Source organism: Homo sapiens, chromosome 7 (assembly GCF_000001405.40).
Source record: "Homo sapiens chromosome 7, GRCh38.p14 Primary Assembly".
Lineage (NCBI taxonomy): Eukaryota > Metazoa > Chordata > Mammalia > Primates > Hominidae > Homo > Homo sapiens.
In genome coordinates, this window is record NC_000007.14 from 94,698,626 (window position 1) to 94,721,342 (window position 22,717).

The window sequence follows — 22,717 nt, forward strand, 5'->3', positions numbered from 1 at the left end:
CACACCTTAACCATAATTTTGTTAGGATGTGCAACAAAAGAATCAATGTTAACTATTTACTCAACAGTAACATTTATTATGCAGAAGAAATATGTGTTCACGCCTTATGAAATCTCTTCTAAGTCTTCCGAAGCCTAACATGGCAAATATAGAGTTTAGTGGACTCCATTATAATTTGGCTTACAACCCACATGTCTCGAATTTCCCCATAAATTGTATGAAAATAATATGCATAAAATTATTTTATGAAAATATAACATTAGCATTTTCCTTTTAAAATATCTGGGACTCATCCAATAAAGGTTCCTGTGATGTCAGGGACAGATGACCCTAAATGTAGAAGTGACATTATGAGGCATTTGCAAAACCTGGGCAAAATCAAGAGTACAAAATATTAACATTTTTACTTGCTATGAAAAAAATAGGCAAAATTTGAAAGTGTGGCAAAAAGTTGGGTACCATATCCCTTCAATGTCATACTAGGGTGACAGCAACCTAATTATTATCTAGGGAAGTGGGTCTGAAACTTCAGTGTGCATTCAAAATCATCTAAATAACTTACTAAATCATAGGTTGTTGGGTCCCACTCAGAGCTCCTGATTCTGTAAATCTGGCAAAAGGGCCTGAGAATATTAATTTCTAACAAATTTCCAGGTGAGACAGATTCAGGAATTTCTAATCCAGGAATTATAATTTCAGAATCACTGATACAGAAGAAGATACCTACTTAGATTACTGTACATTATTCATCTGCATTTCTAGGTATCAGTTTATAGACTTCTGTTCAGTAGAAATGGAAATAATTTCTGTACAGAGTAACAGATAATTCTAAATATTATTGCCCTATAAGACATTACCAGTTTTGTATCTTACCCAACTATCTTAACTGAATATGTCTGTGTGTGTGTGTGCACACAAGTGCATACATGCATGCATAATAGTTTCTCAATTGCTTCTTGAACTGGTTTTAATACCTCACTGGTTCCCTCACACATGTGAGTTCAATAACATTTTTTACACTTGTTTATATTATATTTGTATGAGAGAAATAATTTTACTTTTGTGAAAATTATACTTTAACACATTTGAATGAATGGTTGTTGACTGAATTTTGGTACTTTTGGATTTTATTATATAATTGTAATCTAGTATTGTACACAGAGCATTAAGGTAACTCTTTTAAATAGAAAGGTACATCTTTTGTGAAATTCATGAAATTACTTTGAAATTTCTTACATTATTTCAGTAGATTTCCTTTTCTTGCCTCAGACTTAACGTGCTTCAATGTTTTCTTGAAACTCTCAAGACGTTGTGTCATAAGATGGTTACTATTAATCAGAAATAATTTTCTCTTCATTTTTATTTTCATTAAAGTACCTCTCAGAGTCCTTTTTATGTTAACATGCAGAAATATACCACATGACTATCTTCTTCATCAAAATTGGGTAGCATCCATATTGGGTAGTATAAAAAACATATTTTAGCATAGAGAAATAATAACAGAACATGGAAGTCAGAAGTATATCTGTGTTTCCAGGGATTACATAAATGGCACGGGCCTTCATAGCTACAAGTTTAACTCCCAATTTATTACTAATTTCCCATGAGTCTTGGAGAATCACTATGCTTTTCATTCTTTTGCATCATTGTTTGCCAAGTATTATAATATTTGCAGGGATATAATTTAGTTAGATTGTAAGCTATTTTTATAAATTAGATGGTCTAGTAAAAAATGTAGTATTAATTAATATAAATATTCAAAACCACAATGAAATATTATTTCACATACATTAGGATGGCTACCACCAAAACAAAAACAAAAACGAGCGTTAGAAGGGATGTGGAGAAATTGGAATCCTTGCACACAGTTGATGGGAATGCAAAATCATGCAGCCACTATGGAAAAGAGTATGGCAGTTTCTCAAAAAATAAAAACATAGAATTACCATGTGATCCAGCAATCCCTGTCTGTGTACATATACAAAAGAATTGGAAGCAAGATCTCAAAGAGGTATTTGAACACTCATGTTTATAGCAGCTTCCACCAAGAGGTGGAAGCAACTCAAATGTCCATCAGTGAATGAAGGGATAAACAAAATGTGGTATATCCATATGATGGAATATTATTCAGTCTTAAAAAGGAAAGAAATCATGTCACACACTACAACATGGATGAACTTTGAGGACATTACACTAAGTGAAATAAACTAGTCACAAAAAGACCATACCACATGGTTTTACTTGTATGAGATATCTAAAGCAGTCAAGCTCATAGAGACAGGCTGGGTGGAGTGGCTCACACCTGTAATCCCAGCACTTTGGGAGGCCAAGGTGAAAGAATCACTTGAGCCCAGGGGTTCAAGATCAGCCTGGGCAATAGAGAGACCCTGTCTCTATTAAAAAAAAAATTCATAGAGACAAACAATGGATCATGGTTACCAGGGACTGGGAGAACCAGGAAATGGGGGGGTTGTTGTTTAATGGATATAGAGTTTCAGTTTTGCAAGATGAAAACATTCTGGAGATCCATTGCACAACAATGTGAACATAATGAACACTATTGAATGCTATACCTAAAAATAGTTAAGACTGTAAATGTTATGTTGGATTTTTTATCACAATTAAAAATAGAAAAAAAAAGTATTTCTGGATAGGATTAACTTTATGGCTTTAAAAGAAGGCAGCTTTAGGAGCCTAATTCCAGGCTCACCACAGGATTCCCTTTACCCTGCTATCTCCCTTACTAACCTGTTTTATGCCTTAAGTGTTACCTGTGGAGCATCCTTCCTTGTGGTTATGAGCATATTCCCCATTGTGAATAAATACCTAAAGTAACAACCTGTAATCAAGCATTTATATTTCTAAGGACATTTATGACAGATTGTTACAAGTAAGCTTTGACTGAATACACAAAGGAAAGAGCAGGAGGGCAGAGTGTCCTTGGTGAAGGGAGATTAAGAGTCTGGTGAAGCCTGGTTATTTACCAAAAACTTCATCTACTTAACTCCAATGTCAGGCCTGCAAAAATATTTTCCCTTCCTATTTCCTGTTGCCCTGGGGAAAGTTGCTGTTACCATAGAAAAGGGAGTCTATGTGTGTAACCTATGCATTCCTTTCTAGGGGCAGACAAAAGACACATTGTGAGTGAATGACTTTCACAGCTCTTCAGCTCTAGACCATTAGTATGCTCAGTTTTAAGCTCTATGTTTCCCTTTTTGAAGTAGTTAAATCCTTTATTGACTGTTTCTTCTCATTTCCACATCATCTTTTAGTTCAGTGGAGGAACATTATATTACGATTCTTACTAAGGGGCCAGAAGTGTCAATCCATTTTAAGGTCAATTCAAACACAGACCGCTTACCTCTCAGCCCTATGCTGTGGAACTTCTGGAAGAAACCCCATTCTTAATTTTATGATGTTTTTACACATATACCCCCACAAAAAGAGGTTACCATAGAAACTGGGGAGCAAGTAACTTGGTAACTTTAACAGAAGTGCATACTTGCTATTGCCAAAGCTGGAATAACAATTGTGCATTTACCAGGAGAATACAAGACTTTCTATTGTAAAGTCGACTACTTCTTTTTTACCAGGTGCTCCATGATTCTTCAAGTGTATTCCCAATATGAGACAATGTTTTCTGTATTAGTGACTTAGAAAAATATTTGGGTTTTTTTTTGACATAGCAGTATGTCAGTGAAAAAAATTAAATTGACATGATTTATATTACCTTATGTGTCTACATCATTCCTTTTGCTTCTAAGGCTTTACAAGGACATCCTTGAAGATTTTTGTGAGGGGTTGGCTCCCTTTATTTTTAATTAAACATTGATATAATTCATTGTACAAAATTTGGGGAGCACAGTGAACTGTAAAGAAGATTTTAAAAACCCATAAAGCCTTTGTCTCTCGCTCCAGCCAGAGCTTGGGGTTAGTGCTTCACTGCCCTGTGTCCTCCGCTCCAGGAGGTCTCTGTGATTGTGCCACAGCCTAAGCCTCCATCGCTCTGTGACCTGCTGGTATTGGAACATTCATAGCAAAGACCCCAGGACACTCCTGAAGCCAAGAAGGAGGAAAAGAAATAGCCCTGCAATGTGAAGAGACATGAGACAGTAGCCAAACTCCCAGAAGACAGGAGAAGACAGAATACCTCCTAAATCTTTATATGAGGCCAGCATTAACCTACATCAAACCAGACAAAGACATTACAATAAAATAAAACCACAGACCAATATCTCCTATAAATGTACATGCAAAAACCTCAACAAAATACTAGCAATTCAAATTCAATGAGGTACAAAAACAATTACACACTATGACCAACTTGGATTTATTTCAGATAATGCAAATCTGGTTCAACATTTAAAAACCAATTAATGCAATCCATTCCATGAAGACTAAAGAAGAAAAATAACATGAGCATATAAATGGAGAAAAAAACATTTGAAAACATCTAGTACCTTCTCGTGGTTAAAAGACTGGGCAAAGAAGGAAAAGAAGGGAACTTCCTCAACTTTATACAAAATATTTTTTAAAAACTCCAACAGCTGGCCAGGCGCGGTGGCTCATGACTGTAATCCCAGCACTTTGGGAGGCTGACGCGGGCAGATCACCTGAGGTCAGGAGTTCAAGACCAGCCTGACCAACATGGTGAAATCCCATCTCTACAAAAAATAAAAAATTAGCCAGGTGTGGTGGCAGGCACCTGTAGTCCCAGCTACTTGGGAGGCTGAAGCAGGAGAATCGTTTGAACCCGGGAGGCAGAGGTTGCAGTGAGCCAAGATCACGCCACTGCACTCCAGCATGGGCAACAGAGTGAGATTCCATCTCAAACAACAACAACAACAAGAAAAAAAAAAGCCAACAGCTACCATCATAACCTAGACTGTGAGAAACTAGAAGTTATCCTGCCAAGATCAGGATCCAGTCAGTGATGGCCTCTATCAGCATTCCATCTCAACATTTTACTGAAAATCTGAATAGTATAATATGGGGCAAAGTGTATACTGTTTGGGAAGGATAAAATAAAACTGCCATTTTTTGCAGATGACTAAATTGTCTATGTAGTAAATCCAAAATGAGCAACCTAAAAAAATCTGGAACTAATAAACAATTATAATAAGGGTACAGAACACAAGATTAATATACAGAAGTAAATTGTTTCCTATATAGCAGGTATGAACAAGTCAAATTTGAAATTTTAAATGCCTTAACATTTAAATTAGTGCTTTTCAAAATGAAACATATAAATCTAAAAAAATATATTCAATATCATTTTGATAAAAACTATATAATTCTGATGAAAAAATCAATAACCATATACAATATTATAGGTATTCTCAAAGTATTTTTCTTCCAGTCTGAGCCTCGTCTTCTTATTCAAATGAGAAGCAGTGTATTTCAGAGTATAGTTTGTATTTCACAGAAGAAATATTTCCTTCTCATATACAAGCAAACTCAGTATTGTCAAGATGTCATTTCTCGGCTTCATCTATAGATCAACACAATCCCTATCTAAACCCAAAGAAATTATGTTGTGGATTTTGAGAATACTTTCTAACATTTATATGAAGAGAAAAAAATCAAAACAACACAATATTGAAAAAGAACAAGAAAGAGGACTGTTATTACTCAACTTCAATACTTATTATAAATCTGTAGTAATCACGAAACATTGTATTGGCAAAATAATCCACAAATTGATTAAAGGAACAAACACAAATCTCAAATATCTACAAAAATACAGTTAACTGATTGTTCACAAAGAATAAAAAGCAATACAATGGAGAAAAGATAATCTTTTAACAAATGGTGCTGTAATAACTGGACATCCACATGCAAAAAAAAATTTAAAAAGAATCTAGACATAGTTATTACACTCCTCAAAAATTATCTCAAGGCCAGGCATGGTGGCTCACACCTGTATTCCCAGCACTCTGCGAAGCTGAGGTAGGCGGATCACCTGAGGTCAGAAGTTCGAAACCAGCCTGACCAACATGGTGAAACCCTGTCTCTACTAAAAATACAAAATTAGCCTGGTGTGGTGGTGCGCGCCTGTACCCCGGCCACTAGGGAGGCTGAGGCAGGAAAATCACTTGAACCCGGGAGGCAGAGGTTGTAGTGAGCCAAGATCATGCCACTGCACTACGGCCTGGGCAACGAGAGTGAAACTCCGTCTCAAAAAAAAGAAAAATTATCTCAAAATGTATCAGACTTAAATGTAAACACAAAACAATGAAACTAAAAGAAAACAGGAAAAAAAATCTAGATGTTCTCAAATAGAGCAATAATATGCTGTTCTTCATTGAAATTTAAAAACAAAGAAAAACTCTGTAAAAGATATTGGTTCTCATTCTAATAAGAGGAGAAGGCACAGACCAGAAGAAAAATATTTTCAAAACACCCACCTGGAAAGAAATATTATCTAAGATATGTAACAAACACTTAAAATTCAACAAAAAGAAATGAACAACTCCCATAGATTACACACATTTTACATATCATATATTACTTTTTAGAATCCCTAACAGAATGAAGTCCTAACACACCCAAATTATAATTTCTGAGCACTCTTTCAGTAAGACATGTAAAGGCACAGGAAAAGCTGAAAGACTTTTTTGTATTCCTGGTCTACCTCATTAAAATGTAATCCTCGGCCAGGCCCGGTGGCTCACGCCTGTAATCCCAGTAAGAGGTGACAGTGTGCCGGCAGTCCTCACAGCCCTCGCTCACTCTCGGGGCCTCCTCTGCCTGGGCTCCCACTTTGGTGGCACTTGAGGAGCCCTTCAGCCCACTGCTGTACTGTGGGAGCCCCTTTCTGGGCTGGCCAAGGCCGGAGCCGGCTCCCTCAGCTTGCAGGGAGGTGTGGAGGGAGAGGCGCCAGTGGGAACCCGGGCTGCGCGAGGCGCTTGCGGGCCAGCTGGAGTTCCGGGTGGGCGTGGGCTTGGCGGCCCTGCACTCGGAGCAGCCAGCTGGCCCTGCCGCCCCGGGCAATGAGGGGCTTAGCACCCGGGTCAGCGGCTGCAGAGGGTGTACTGGGTCGCCCAGCAGTGCCAGCCCACCAGCGCTGCGCTCAATTTCTCACCGGGCCTTAGCTGCCTTCCTGCCGGTCAGGGATCGGGACCTGCAGCCCGCCATGCCTGAGCCTCCCACCCCCTCCATGGGCTCCTGTGCGGCCCAAGCCTCCCCGATGAGCACCACCCCCTGCTCCACGGCGCCCAGTCCCATCAACCACCCAAGGGCTGAGGTGTGCAAGTGCACGGCACGGGACTGGCAGGCAGCTCCACCTGCAGCCCCGGTGCGGGATCCACTGGGTGAAGCCAGCTGGGCTCCTGAGTCTGGTGGGGACGTGGAGAACCTTCATGTCTAGCCCAGGGATTGTAAATACACCAATCGGCACTCTGTATCTAGCTCAAGGTTTGTAAACACACCAATCAGCACCCTGTGTCTAGCTCAGGGTTTGTGAATGCACCAATCGACACTCTGTATCTAGCTACTCTGGTGGGGCCTTGGAGAACCTTTGTGTCCACATTCTGTATCTAGCTAATCTGGTGGGGACGTGCAGAACCTTTGTGTCTAGCTCAGGGATTGTAAACGCACCAATCAGCACCCTGTCAAAACAGACCACTGGGCTCTACCAATCAGCAGGATGTGTGTGGGGGCCAGATAAGAGAATAAATGCAGGCTGCCCGAGCAAGCAGTGGCAACGCTCTCGGGTCTCCTTCCACACTGTGGAAGCTTTGTTCTTTCGCTCTTTGCAATAAATCTTGTTACTGCTCACTCTTTGGGTCCACACTGCTTTTATGAGCTGTAACACTCACCGCCAAGGTCTGCAGCTTCACTCCTGAAGCCAACGAAACCACAAGCCCACCTGGAGGAATGAACAACTCCAGACGCGCCGCCTGAAGAGCTGTAACACTCACCGTGAAGGTCTGCAGCTTCACTCCTGAGCCAGTGAGACCACGAGCCCACCAGAAGGAAGAAACTCCAAACACATCCGAACGTCAGAAGGAACAAACTCCAGACGCGCCACCTTAAGAGCTGTAACACTCACCGCGAGGGTCCGCAGCTTCATTCTTGAAGTCAGTGAGACCAAGAACCCATCAATTCCGGACACACCAGCACTTTGGGAGGCCGAGTAAGGCAGATCATCTGAGGTCAGGAGTTCAAGACCAGCCTGGCTAACATGGTAAAACCCCATCTCTACTAAAAATACAAAAAAATTAGCTGGCATGGTGTAGCTGTAGTCCCAGCTACTCGGGAGGATGAGGCAGGAGAATCGTTTGAACCTGAGAGGCGGAGGTTGCAGTGAGCTGAGATCGCGCCACTGCACTCCAGCCTGGGTGACAGAGCGAGACTCTGTCTCATAAATAAATAAATTAATTAATTAATTAAATGTAATCTTCGAAGGTGTTGTAGCCAGCTCTCCAGGCTCCTAAGATTGTGAGGAATGCATGTCTTCCTTCCAGGGCAAAGAGCAGCATTGAATAATAACATAATAGCTGTAACATGGATTTTTCAAGCATGGCTTCAATTTGACACGTCAGAACATTTGAGATTCTAAATCACTGCTCCAGACTGTTTTACATCGCTCCACTGACTATAGGAAATTTTTACTGAAATCAAGGTTTAACAAAATAACTTACTTATAAAGTCTAACAAGCGGAAAGAAAATTAGCCAGAGATAATCAGTTCTTCCTGAAAAACACTCTTTTCTCATTAAATTTTTTCTGACGTTAGTTTACTGATTTCAGGTAGAATTTTAAATTCTCCTTAAAAACAGAAGCAAACAAAAGAACTAACTGATAAAAACTAATAAAAGCTTGCTCAAATTAAAAAAAAAACCATAAACCCACTATCCGGAGTTAATTTTAGTTAATAATTTGACCTAAGTTCTCCAAGTATTTTTTCAAACATAGTTGAGATTGTTGAGGGCTTTCATTGCAATTGTAAAAGGAATTGCAGGTGCCTGCTTAAATGAATGACTGGGATACATGTATAAAACTGCCTTGTCTAGTTATTTCTTTACCTTTATTCCTTAGCAATAGAATCTAGTCAAGCCAGCTATTATTCAGCATAATTTGTTAATAATATGCTCTCATTTTTGCCATAAAATATATATTTTCTCTGACATGTAGGGTTTATGTAATTTTGGAATTTATTTCATGGAGAAATACTAGCTAGAGGGAAGAAATCAAGAAATACCTTTGGTACCACAGTGTCGGAGGATGGATCTATCTGGATAACACTCCCTGCTGACAAGGTGAAGGTTGTGGGACTTAACATGCCAAGAGGGTGTATGGTGATGATGAAAGATGAAACTGTCATGGCTAAAATTGAGCAACGGCTGCTCCTTTTGTAGGGGAGAAAGTTTTCTTTTCTTTTCTCTACCCCTCTTAGAATCATTGGCTGGGGCCCTGTAAATTAAACTGACAAAAGACACATTAATAAGAGAAGAACAAACAGAAGTTTGTTAACATGTACAGTATGCGTACACAGAAGAGCACTCAAAGGGATGGTTAGCATTTGGGCTTACATAGCATCTTAATAAATTTTAAACAATAAATTTTAGAGATGTGACAAGATGAAGGAAAAGGACTTTGAGTTTCTAGGGCAGCAAATTATGGGAAGGCAAATATATGGGGGGATGAATGAAAGATAAGGGCTAATTAATAAGATTTGTTACATGGATTCCTCTAGTGCAATCTCCAGGCTGATAAGGGTCTAGAGCTGTCTCCAATAATTACCTCTGTCCTTCCTGGTGGAGAGGAGAGAGAGGCACATTTACAAATTTACATTCTGCTTTTAATCAAATGAGGGAGGGAAGAGAGTTTTTCTTATGTCTGTTTCTTCTTAATTGTCTTCAGCTCAAAATAATCAATATGCCAAAATGACATATTTTGGGGTGCATCTTCTGCATCTCTTCACTGCCATTTCTCTTGGTAATGAACCTTGTTGCTGCTTGTAAGATTGCTTTGAAAGTGATGGGACTGAGGATGTTTGCGACTGAAAATTACAGACAGCTGGGCAATGCTGTAATCAGAAAAAGGATCATTGACTTAAATAAAGCTTCCATCAAAATATATTCTTTATAAGAAGATTTGCAATATTAATAGCCTTTCTCTCAAGGTATACTAGAAAGCATTCAGTGAGTCTTACTGTATGTCAGGTAAGCCTTGTTCTCAGTCTTTTCTGGAAAAAAAAAAAAGAATTATCAGACGTCAAATATAAAGAATATTTATCAGTATTTATTCTAAAAATCTCTGAGAACACTTAAATTTTTTTTTTAAATTAAGCTCATGTCTTCTCTTCTTTGTAATGAACCAGAAGGATTACTGGGTGTCTTCAGCGGAAAACTAGGCAGTTGTCTAAGCACATTATTACTGTCATCTGATCTATAGGTTCTCTGTATTTTTCCTCATCTTTGAGTTATTTTATAATTCTTGTAAGTTGTAAGTAACTGATAGCAATGCAAGTAATTACTCTACAGAATCACACAAATTAATTTTGTCTTAGGGAAATTAAACTGATTTCTCTCTACTTCCCATGGAATAAGACCTTTTTACACCAATTTGTAAATAAATTCCCACATACTTATTGCTTATATATGCGCATATTCTTTAACACTCATTTGGATCAATTGTAACATTTATGGGTCCCTCATTAGTTAATGAGTTAAATAAAATCATTGACAGGTATTCATTTTGTATTTGTATGTCAGTCACAATTATACCCTATTTTAAGCTTCCAAATCTACTTTTCTTTTTTTATTCCAAGCAGTACCCATATTGTATACATCCTACCTTAAATATATTTTAAACTTATCTTTTCTGTTCCTTTTGCCTTATCTTGGCCCTCATTATCTCATCAGGAGTACAGCAACAATCTAACTTGTATGTAAGTGATGAATAAATTCATGAACTCCCAGGTTTAGGATCAGGATTATAACAGTTATTGTCAATAATGGGAACAGCTGAAGTGAAAATAGAAGATACCAGGGCTCTAGGAAGATTACTCTTCTAAAAATGTTGCTGAAATACAGTTTCATTGTATTTCTTTCTCTGATAAAAGCACGTTAGTGCAATATGCACATTCCTTACTTCCACAATAATATCATTGCTTTAGCACCCGAAATTCAACTGGCTTTGCAGTGGCTTGAAGCCTAGTAACATCTCCTCCATTTTTTAGGCATTGCTCGATGATACCATTTGTTCATCACTTAAAGTAAAAACTATTGGAATATTTAAATTAACAGTAATCAACTTAGGGTTTTTAAAAAATTTGTAAACTTAATAACAGGATTAGATTTGATTGGTTGTAGCAGGGGGTGGGGAAGGTGGCATCAGCGACATTAACTTCAAGAATGATCGTTGCCCAAAGTTGTTTTGTTGTTGTTCTGCAAACATTTCTTCTGGTAATTACTAAACTTAATGTCCATGTATATTCTTGTGGTATCATAAAAATAGCATAAACTCTAGCTCAAAATTCTTAAACATGATCTGAATATACTAATTTAAGATAGAGAATATACCAAATTAAAATATGCCTTGTGTAAACTCTTGGACCTCGGAATGACACCTCAATCCACTCTTTGGAATCTAGAGGTCACATGCAGGGGCAGGTGGATAAACACGAGGTTTCCATAGTACATTCTGAAGCTGGAGGGATGCTCAGCAATTACCCAAGAAATACAGAAAATATCCTCAAACAACCTTGTTTCCTGAAGTTTCTTTGATTGTACATACAAATTATTAAAAACAATACACTTGGAAAGGCTCAGAAGCCATGCAGTACTGCCTAAGTATAAAAATAGGAAGACTAACATTCTTGAAAGCCTCAGGCATACTGAATTTGTCATTAACAAAACATTTGAATTCATGAGGACCAAAGGCTGGAGAAAAAGAGAGGCTATCCTGCCCCTACTTAAGTTGAAACTACAAAGGCTATATATGTTTCCATTTTCTGCTGCCGAATGACAATAAGGTAAACAATGTTAAGAATATCAGTTTGATATGCATTGTAAAATGAATAAGATATAAAAATACTCTTCTGAAACAAAAATTTTAAAATTCAGGTTTTTCTGAAGCAGCTTCGTTCAATACTTTTAAAATGATATTTTGCCACAGATATGAACTTTTATGAATGCCTGGACACAATTAGAATTCATCTATATATGTTTACAAAATGTCCTCTTTTTATTGATAGTTATTTTCTACAAAAGTTGTTGGAGTTTCTCTTTAAATAACATAAACCTATTATTAGCTTTCATTAAGAAAATTATCCAGCACATGGTGAAACGGGCAATAAAATGAAAAGAAAATTATCCATAAACATTACATAATTACACCACCTAAGACTTTCCAATCTATTTGGCTTATCAAGTCTCCTTCAAGTTTTTAAAAACCATTTTGCCTGTTTTCTATGGTAGATAATAAAAAATTGAATTTAAGCAAAATATTTTATTTTATATTAGCATATCAATAAAGAATACAAATAACATTTACCTAAAATAGTTTTAAATATTAATATGGGGTCACTGATCACTTTTAAATATATAACATTTACATATAGTTATATGTACTATATAAATATATAAATAATACTATAATATAAATACACGTTTATATTTATATAAATGTCCTATATATTTATATTACAAATATAAATATGTAAATTTATATAAATAGAAATGTGTATATTTATCATTTATCTATGTAACAATATAATTCATATAAAATATATTACATAAATTTTTATATTCATATTATAAATATATGTATTTATATATGTATATTTTTAGACATAAAATATATGTCTATGTAAAGATATGAATAATATAAAATATTATGTTATTTTATAACAATATAAATTTAGGTGTCTTTCTATTCAGAAAAAATGCCACTTGATTTACTTTAAATTGTGTAAGACAAAAACTGCTTTGTCAAAAATAATATTTAAAATGAAATATGTTTTCTTTGGGGACTGGATGCATGTTAAAAATACATATTAATACATAACTAAATGTTATGCATCAAAAAGACCAAAACGCCTTTCATAACCTTGCAATTTTAGCATATGCTTTATAAACTTAACTGGTTTGTATTTTTAGGCTATTTTGAAGATCTTTCCATAAATAAAATATTTCTTAGGAGTACAGTGCTTGTTTTCCAATACTTGGATGATGTATTATTGTTTTTCTCATTGTGTGTTTTTATATTTTTATGTATGTATTATTTTTTTCTCAAGTTTTTTCCTTGAAGAACTATTTAATAGTGTAGCTTCTGGATCTGGTGAATACCAGTTTTTGTATTACAATCATGAACAAAGCAGAACTGCCTGCATAATACTATGACTAAATGGATGAGATTGATTTATTCCAGTAACTAACAATATCAAAAGGCGAGTAAACTTTTCCATGGGGGTACAATACATAACCAATTCATAAGAATTTCTTCAATGCTTTTCCTTGGATTAAAATCACATTATGGACAAATGAAGTCATTAACAAATCTCTTGAACCTGTCAACCTATTTTGCAAAATGTACAATTTCAGAAATTTTTATATGAATAACATGTTATCTGTCCAAAATTATGCTTTTATTTTGACAATTCTTCAGAAATATTTCAGAATTCAGAAACAGAGGTATATCAAAGCAATCTAAAATACTTCTAGCATCTCTCTTTTTATGTAGTAAATATAGAAATCTTTGTGATTTCTGCATTTTCCAGGGGGGTCCCTGGGCAATCTAAAAGATAATTGTAATTTTAGAAAACATCTTCGAGTTTGCTTCAGCAGCAAGTGTACTAAAATTAAAACAATATAGAGAAGATTAGCATGATCCCTGCACAAGTGTGACACACAAATTTGCGAAGCATTCTATTTTTTTTTTCGACAAATGGTTATCTATTTCAACTGGATATCCACATGCGGAAGAATAAAGTTGGACTCTTACATTATACCATATATAAACATTAACTTAAAGTGAATCAAAGGTCCAAGCAGCAAAATCTAAAACTATAAAACTCTTAGAGGAAAACATAGGAGGAAAGATTTATGACATCAGATTTGGCAATGACTCCTTGGATATGACATCAAAAGCACAGACAACAAAAAAAGTAGATAGATTAGACTACGTTCAACATGGAAAGCTTTTGTGTAGTATGCTAAGTAAGACTCGTCACAAATAGACAAATACTGTATGATTGCACTTATATAAGCTATCTAGAATAATAAAATGTATAAAACAGCAAGTAGAATGGTGGATGCTGGGGCTGTTGGGAGAGATGAATGGGAGCTATTGTTTAATAAGTATGGTGTTTCAGTTCTGGAAGATGAAAAAGTTCTGGAGATGGATGGTAGGGACAGGTGCACAAACATGTGAATGTACTTAATGCCACAGAACTGCACATTTAAAAATGGTTAAAGTGGCAAATTTTATGTTTTGTATATTTTACCACAATGAAAAAACAAAAAGACAATCTATTCTTTTTTTTTTCTGTGTTTAGAATCTGATCTTGAAGAAACAGAATTATCAGAAAAGATCTGGTCATTTGATTGATACAGTATCACAGTTGCCTGTGAGCAATGACTGATTATAGCTTAATTATACATAAAGTAACAATATTTTATAAAAGATGAAAGTAACACAATTATAAGAAACTTTAGTTCTCCTGAAATGATGAACTTTAAAAAAATTGATAACAAAATAAAATCAGCACAAATTTCAGGAAATTATTCTGGTGATATACAGAATTCCTGCTAACTCTGTAGATTACACAGACGGTAAAAAATAATCTTATTCCCTTTGTTAAAAGCCGATTAAATATTTCAAGATCAATTTATGTTTTAACAGGGAGAAGATAAAATTCCAGGATTGCATTAATGTAGTCTTTTGCAGTAAAGGATATTAAAATATCTTTATAAATAAACCCATTAAAATTAAGCAAACTTCCTCCAAATTTTAATATATTTCATCTTTTTTCCTAGACTAAGATATTATAAAGTATGGTAAATAAAATTCATTTTTCTCAAACCTTATACAACTTGCTATGTACACTCAAGTTTTATCCCTCACTATAATCTTTAATATTCTGGAACAAATTGACACACTATTCTGTTTTTACTTGAAAACCATATCTGGCGGCCCTCTGGTTGTCAAGGGTTGCTTCTTTCTCTATTTGTATGATTTTATTTTTCCTTAATTTATTGAATTTTTCTTTTTTTTTTTTTTAACTTTATGTTCCAGGATACATGTGCAGAACGTGCAGGTTTGTTACATAGGTATACTAGGTATACGTGTGCCAAGATGGTTTGCTGCACCTATCAACCTGTTACCTGGCTTTTAAGCCCCATGTGCATTAGCTATTTGTCCTGATGCTCTCCGTCCTCTTTCCCCCCACCGACAGGCCCCGCCCAGCAGTATGTGTTATTCCCTCCCAGTGTCCACGTGTTCTCATTGTTCAAATCCCACTTATGAGTGAGAACATGTGGTGTTTGGTTTTCAGTTCCTGTGTTAGTTTGCTGAGGATGATGGCTTCCAGGTTTATCCATGTCCCTGCAAAGGACATGATCTCATTCCTTTTTATGGCTGCATAGCATTCCATGGTGTATATGTACCACATTTTCTTTATCCAGTCTATCATTGATGGGCATTTGGTTCAATGTCTTTGCTATTGTGAATAGTGCTGCAATAATCATACGTGTGCTAACCTTCTCTCCCTGGAACCTTCTGGAAAGTGAGGAGCGCCTCTGCCAGGCTGTAGCACCATCTGAGAAGTGAGGAGCGCCTCTGTCCCACCCCAGTGCAACTCTACAGGTGTGAAGTGGCAGTCTAGTGTGTGATCTTTCTGCCCTCCTCAAGTTTGCATTTTCAACATTAAAGTTTACTTCTAAATTAAAAGACTTAAATTGGGGAAGATAAAAAAAAATGTGTACATGTGTCTTTATAATAGAATGGTTTATATTCCTTTGGGTATATACCCAGTAATGGGATTGCTGGGTCAAATGGTATTTCTGGTTCTAGATCCTTGAGGGATCGCCACACTGTCTTCCACAATGGTTGATTAATTTTTATTACATTAATTTACATTCCCACCAACAACGTAAAAAGTTGTTCTTATTTCTCCACAGCCTCGCCAGCTCTGTTTCTTGACTATTTAATAATTGCCATTCTGACTGGCATGAGATGGTATTTTATTGTGGTTTTGATTTGCATTTCTCTAATGATCAGTAATGTTGACCTTTTTTTTAAATACGTTTGTTGGCTGGATAAATGCCTTCTTTTGAAAAATGTCTGTTCATACCCTTTGCCCACTTTTTGATGAGGTTGTTTTTTTCTTGTAAATATGTTTAAATTCCTTGTAAATTCTGGATATTATACCATAGTCCTTTGTCGGATGGGTAGATTGCAAACTTTTTTCCCATTCTGTATGTTGCCTGTACTCTCTGATGATAGTTTCTTTTGCTGTGCAGAAACTCTTTAGTTTAATTAGATCCCATGTGTCAATTTTAGCTTTTGTTGCAATTACTTTTGAGGATTTCATCATAAAATCTTTGCCCATGCCTATGTCCTGAATGGTATTGCCTAGGGTTTCTTCTAGGGTTTTTATGGTTTTAGGTCTTACGTTTAAGTCTTTAATCCATCTTGAGTTAATTTTTGTTTAAGATGTAAGGAAGGGGTTCAGTGTCAGTTTTCTGCATATGGATACCCAGTTTTCCCAACACCATTTATTAAACAGGGAATCCTTTCCCCATTGCTTGTTTTTGTGAGGTTTGTCAAAGATCAGATGGTTGTAGATGTGTGGTGTTATTTCTGAGGTCTCTATTCCATTCCATTGATCTATATGTCTGTTTTGGTACCGGTACCAGTACCATGCTGTTTTGGTTACTGTAGTCTTGTATAGTTTGAAGTAAGGTAGCTGATGCTGCCAGCTTTGTTCATTTTGCTTAGGATTGTCTTGGCTATGCAGGCTCTTTTTTGGTTCCATATGAAATCTAAAGTAGTTTTTCTAATTCTGTGAAGAATGTCAATGGTAGCTTGACGGGAATAGCATTGAATCTATAAATTTCATTGGGCAGTATGACCATGTTCATGATATTGATTCTTCCTATCCATGAGGATGGGGTGTTTTTCCATTTGTTTGTGTCCTCTCTTATTTCTTTGAGCAGTGGTTTGTAGTTCTCCTTGAAGAGGTCCTTCACATCCCTTGTTAGCTGTATTCCTAGTTATTTTATTCTCTTTGTAGCAATTGTGAATGGGAGTTTGCTCATGATTTGGCTCTCTGTTTGTCTATTATTGATGTATAGGAATGCTTGTGATTTTTGCGCATTGATTTTTTTATCCTGAGACTTTGCTGAAGTTGCTTATCAGCTTAAGGAGATTTTGGGCTGAGACGATGGGGTTTTCTAAATATACAATCATGTCATCTGCAAACAGAGACAATTTGAATTCCTCTCTTCTTATTTGAATACACTTTATTTCTTTCTCTTACCTAATTGCCCTGGCCACAACTTCTAATACTATGTTGAATAGGAGTGGTAAGAGAGGGCATCCTTGTCTTGTGCCTGTTTCCAAAGGGAATGCTTTCATTTTGCACATTCAATATGATATTGGCTGTGGGTTTGTCATAAATAGCTCTTATTATTTTGAGACATGTTTCATCAATACCTAGTTTATTGAGAGTTTTTAACATGAAAAGTTATTGAATTTTATCAAAGGCTTTTTCTGCATCTATTGACATAATGATGTGGGTTGTCATTGGTTTTGTTTATGTGATGGATTACGTTTATTGATTTCCATATGTTGAACCAGCCTTGCATCCCAGGGATGAAGCCAACTTGATTGTGGTGGATAAGCTTTTTAATATGCTGCTGGATTCGGTTTGCTGGTATTTTATTGAGGATTTTTACATCTATGTTCATTGGGGTATTGGCCTGCAGTTTTCCTTTTTTGTAGTGTCTCTGCCAGGCTTTGGTATCAGGATGATGCTGGCCTGGTAAAATGAGTTAGGGAGGAGTTCCTCGTCTTCAATTGTTTGGAATAGTTTCTGAAGGAATGGTACCAACTCCTCTTTGTACCTCTGGTAGAATCTGGCTGTGAATCTGTCTGGTCCTGGGCTTTTTTTGTTGGTAGGCTATTTATCACTGCCTACATTTCAGAACTTGTTATTGGTCTATTCAGGGAATTGACTTCTTTCTGGTTTAGTATTGGGAGGGTGTATGTGTCCAGGAATGTATCCATTTCATGTAGATTTTCTAGTATATTTGCACAGAATTGTTTATACTATTCTCTGATAGTAGTTTGTATTTCCATGGGGCCAGTGGTGATGTCCTCTTTAGCATTTTTTATTGTATCTATTTGATTCTCTTTTTTTCTTTATTAGTCTAGCTAATGATCTATTTTATTATTTGATTCAAAAAACTGGTTCCTGGATTCATTGATTTTTTGGTAGGGTTTTTGTGTGTGTGTGTCTCTATCTCCTTCAATTATGCTCTGGTCTTAGTTATTTCTTGTCTTCTGCTAGCTTTTGGATTTGTTTGCTCTTGCTTCTCTAGTTCTTTTAATTGTGATGTTAGGGTGTCAATTTGAGATCTTTCTAGCTTTCTGATGTGGGCATTTTAGTGCTATAAATTTCCATCTTAACACTGCTTTAGCTGCATCCCAGAGATTCTGGTACGTTGTCTTTTGTTCTCATTGGTTTCAAAGAACTTCTTGATTTCTGCCTTAATTTCATTATTTACCTAAGAGTCATTCAGGGGCAGCTTGTTTAATTTCCATGCAGTTGTGTGATTCTGAGTGAGTTTTTTAATCCTGTGTTCCAAATTGATTGCACTGTGGTCTGAGAGACTATTTCATATTATTTCAGTTCTTTTGTATTTGCTGAGGGGTGTTTTACTTCCAATTATGCAGTCGATTTTAGAGTAAGTGCCATGTGGCACTGAGAAGAATGTATATTCTGTTGTTTTGGGGTGGAGAGTTCTGTAGATATCTATTAGGTCCACTTGATGCAGAGCTGAGTTCAAGTCCTGAATATACTTTTTAATTTTCTGTCTTGTTAATCTGTCTAATATTGACAGTGGAGTGTTAAAGTCTCCCACGATTATTGTATGGGAGTCTAAGTCTCTTTGTAGATCTCTAAGAACTTATTTTATGAATCAGGGTGCTCTTGTATTGGGTGAATATATATGTAGAATAGTTAGCTCTTCCTAAAGAATTGAACCCTTTACCATTATGTAATGCCCTTCTTTGTCTTTTTTGATCTTTGTTGGTTTAAAGTCTGTTTTGTCAGAGACTAGGACTGCAACCCTGCTTTTTTCCGTTTTCCATTTGCTTGGTAAATTTTCCTTCATCCCTTTATTTTGAGCCTATGTGTGTCTTTGCACATGAGATGAGTCTCTTCAATACAGCACACCAATGAGTCTTGACTCTTTATCCAATTTGCCAGTCTATGTCTTTTAATAGCCCATTTACATTTAAGGTTAATACTGTTATGTGTGAATTTGATCCTGTCATGATGATGCTAGCTGGGTATTTTGCACACTAGGTAATGCCATTTCTTCATAGTGTCATTGGTCTTTATATTTCGAGTGTTTTGCAGTGGCTGGTACCAATTTTTCCTTTCCATATTTAGTGCTTCCTTCAGGAACGCTTACAAGGCAGGCCTGGTGGTGACAAATTCCCTCAGCATTTGCTTGTCTGAAAAGGATTTTATTTCTCCTTCACTTATGAAGTTTAGTTTGGCTGGATATGAAATTCTGGTTTGAAAATTCTTTAAGAATGTTGAATATTGACCTCCACTCTCTTCTGGATTGTAGGGTTTCTGCCGAGAGATCTGCTTCTAGCCTGATGGACTTCCCTTTGTAGGTGACCTGGCCTTTCTCTCTGGCTGCCCTTAACAGTTTTTCCTCCATTTCAGCCTTGGAGAATCTGAAGATTATGTGTCTTGGGGTTGATCTTCTCATGGAGTATCTTAGTGGGGTTCTCTGTATTTCCTGAATTTGAATGTTGGCCTGTGTTTCTACGCTGGGGAAGTTCTTTTGGATAATATTCTGAAGTGTGTTTTCCAACTTGGTTCCATTTCCCTGTCTCTTTCAGGTACTCCAATCAGTCGTAGGTTCAGTTTTTTACATAGTTCCATATTTCTCGGTTAGGTTTTGTTCATTCCTTTTCATTCTTTTTCTCTAATCTTGTCTGCCTGCCTTATTTCAGCAAGGTAGTCTTCTATCTCTGATATTCTTTCTTCCACTCAATCAATTTGGTTATTGATACTTGTGTATGCTTTACAAAGTTCTTGTGCCGCATTTATGTTCCTCTCCAAACTGGTTATTCTAGTTAGCAGCTCCTCTAACCTTTTATCAAGGTTCTTAGCTTCTTTGTGTTGGGTTAGAATATGCTCCTTTACTTCAGTGAAGTTTGTTATTAACTACCTTCTGAAGCCTACTTCTGTCAATTTGTCATCTTATCTTCCATCCAGTTCTGTGCCCTTGCTGGAGAGGTGTTGTGATCATTTGGAGGAGAAGAGGCACTCTGGCCTTTTGGTTTTTCAGTGTTTTTTTGTTGATTTTTTTTTTCATCTTCATGAGTTTGTCTAGTTTCAATCTTTGAGGCTGCTGATCCTTGGTTGAGGTTTTCTTTGGGACTTTTCTTGTTGATGCTGTTGTTGTTGCTTTCTCTTTGTTTTTCTTTCAATAGTCAGGTCCCTCTTCTGTAGGACTGCTGTGGTGTGCTAGAGGTTTGCTTCAGTCCCTATTAATTTAGTTCGCTCTTGCGCCTAGAGATGTCACTCGAGGAGGCTGGAGAACAGCAAAGATGGATGCCTGCTCCTTCCTCTGGGATCTCTGACCTCAAGGGGCACCAATCTGATGCTAGTAAGAATGCTCCCATATGGGATGTCTGACAACTCCTTTTGGGGGGTCTCACCCAGTTGGGTGGCATGGGGAACAGGACCCATTTAATGGGAGGACATTTAAAGGACAGCATTTTGACTGTCCTTTGGTGGAGGGGGTGTGCTGCACTGGGGGAAAACCCACTTGTCTGGGCTGCCTGGATTCCTCAGAGCTGGCAGGAGGAAAGTTTAAGTCTGCTGGTCCATGGAGACATTGGCCACCCCTCTCCCTAGGGGTTCAGACCCAGGGAGAGCAGAGTTCTGTCTTTGACCCCCTGAATGGAGTTGGAGTTCCTGCAGGGAGGCCCTGCAGTGGCAGTGTTGGCTGCCGCCCCTCCCCCAAGGAGCTCAGACAGCTTAGACAGCAGGTAGCCACAGCAGTGGTGATGGCTACCCCTCTCCCTGTGAACTCCACAGGCTTAGGCTGATTCTAACTGAGTAGCTCTTGAGAATCTGCACAGCTCCGTGGTTGGAACCCAAGGCACCGGTGGCATGGGCTCACAAGTGAGATCTTCCGACCCATGCATTGCACAGTTCCGTGGAAAAAGCATGGTTTCCCAGGCTGGGTAGCATGCTCACTCACCACCTCCCTTAGCTGGGGGCGGGGGCTCCCTGCCCTGTGCGGCTCTCAAGTGAGCTGCAGCACCACACTACTACTCTTCCTTCCTCTCTGTGAGTCACACCCACCAGCCATCTATTCAGTCCTAATGACAGAACCAGGATACCTTGGTTGCTGGTACAGGATTCGCACACAGTTTTGGATCTTTTCAATGGGAGCCTCTGATCACTGCTGCTTCTAGTTGGCCACCTTGTCCCTGTCCCCTGAAATTTTTTATATGACCCATGATATGGTCTACTATTTGGACAATGTTCCATGTTCATTGACTCATCTTCCTATATCTCTCCTTATCTCAGATATTATTTTTTGAGGTCTACATTATATATTATAGCCACTACAAATTTCTTTTGACTATTGTTTACATAGTATATTTTAAAAATTATTTTAAACTGTCTATGGGGGAGAGCATGATGAACTGCAAAGGACCATGAGGAAATTTGGGAGATGATGATATTCAGTATCTTGACTGGCAGTTCTGTTACAAGAGTTGTGTATCTGTTTAAAGTTGTATATACAAATTGAGCACAGTTTTTTTGGTACAAAGATTATACCTCTAAATGGTTGATTACCTGTGAAAAAATGGTTAATTAAAGATGGAAAATAATAACAAAATCTAGAAAATCCTCAAGTATTTGGATATTAATACTCTTCTAAATAAACCATTGCAATCACTGTAGGGTTAAAGAAAAATCATAAAATAGAAACAGAAAACAGAAAAGATCATGAAATCTGAAATATTTTGAACTGAAAAATAATGAAAATTCTTTATATCAAAATATGCAGCATGGAACCATAGCAATGGTTAGAGAAGAATCTATAGTTTTAAATGTTCATATTATACACAAAACATTTAACAACATGGATCTAACTTTCTACCTTAGAAACCTAAAAGCAAAACTTAAATATATAGGAAATCAAAAGAAATAAACTATAAAGATAAGAACAGAAATCAATAAAATTGAAAATGACAAATAGAGAAAAGTAACAAAGCAAAAAGTTTGTTTCTATAAAGTATTAATACAGTTAGTAAATCTCTAGATAGGAGACATGTTATTTGTTTTCATCTGGGACATGAACAAACATACCAAAGAAAATTGGATATCTCAATGTTCTTGATTATGTTATTTTTGTACCTTGAGTATTGCCAAGATCACTATGGATATTTGTCTTTGTTAACAGCTGTAGGTAAAATTTGAAGGATGCATAGAAGTTTAC

At 36.9% G+C, this 22,717-nt stretch overlaps 1 pseudogene, besides 2 other annotated features; it reads left to right on the top strand.

Moving 5' to 3' along the window:
* Nucleotides 13,784–13,886, top strand: RNU6-956P (RNA, U6 small nuclear 956, pseudogene; annotated as a pseudogene).
* Nucleotides 20,841–21,341: an enhancer, noted in NCBI's record as "H3K4me1 hESC enhancer chr7:94348778-94349278 (GRCh37/hg19 assembly coordinates)". NCBI's record gives its function as "activates a minimal SCP1, AML or CMV promoter by ChIP-STARR-seq in primed H9 embryonic stem cells {active_cell/tissue: H9 hESC(primed)}" and the evidence as "EXISTENCE:reporter gene assay evidence [ECO:0000049][PMID:30033119]".
* Nucleotides 21,342–21,842: an enhancer, noted in NCBI's record as "H3K4me1 hESC enhancer chr7:94349279-94349779 (GRCh37/hg19 assembly coordinates)". NCBI's record gives its function as "activates a minimal SCP1, AML or CMV promoter by ChIP-STARR-seq in primed H9 embryonic stem cells {active_cell/tissue: H9 hESC(primed)}" and the evidence as "EXISTENCE:reporter gene assay evidence [ECO:0000049][PMID:30033119]".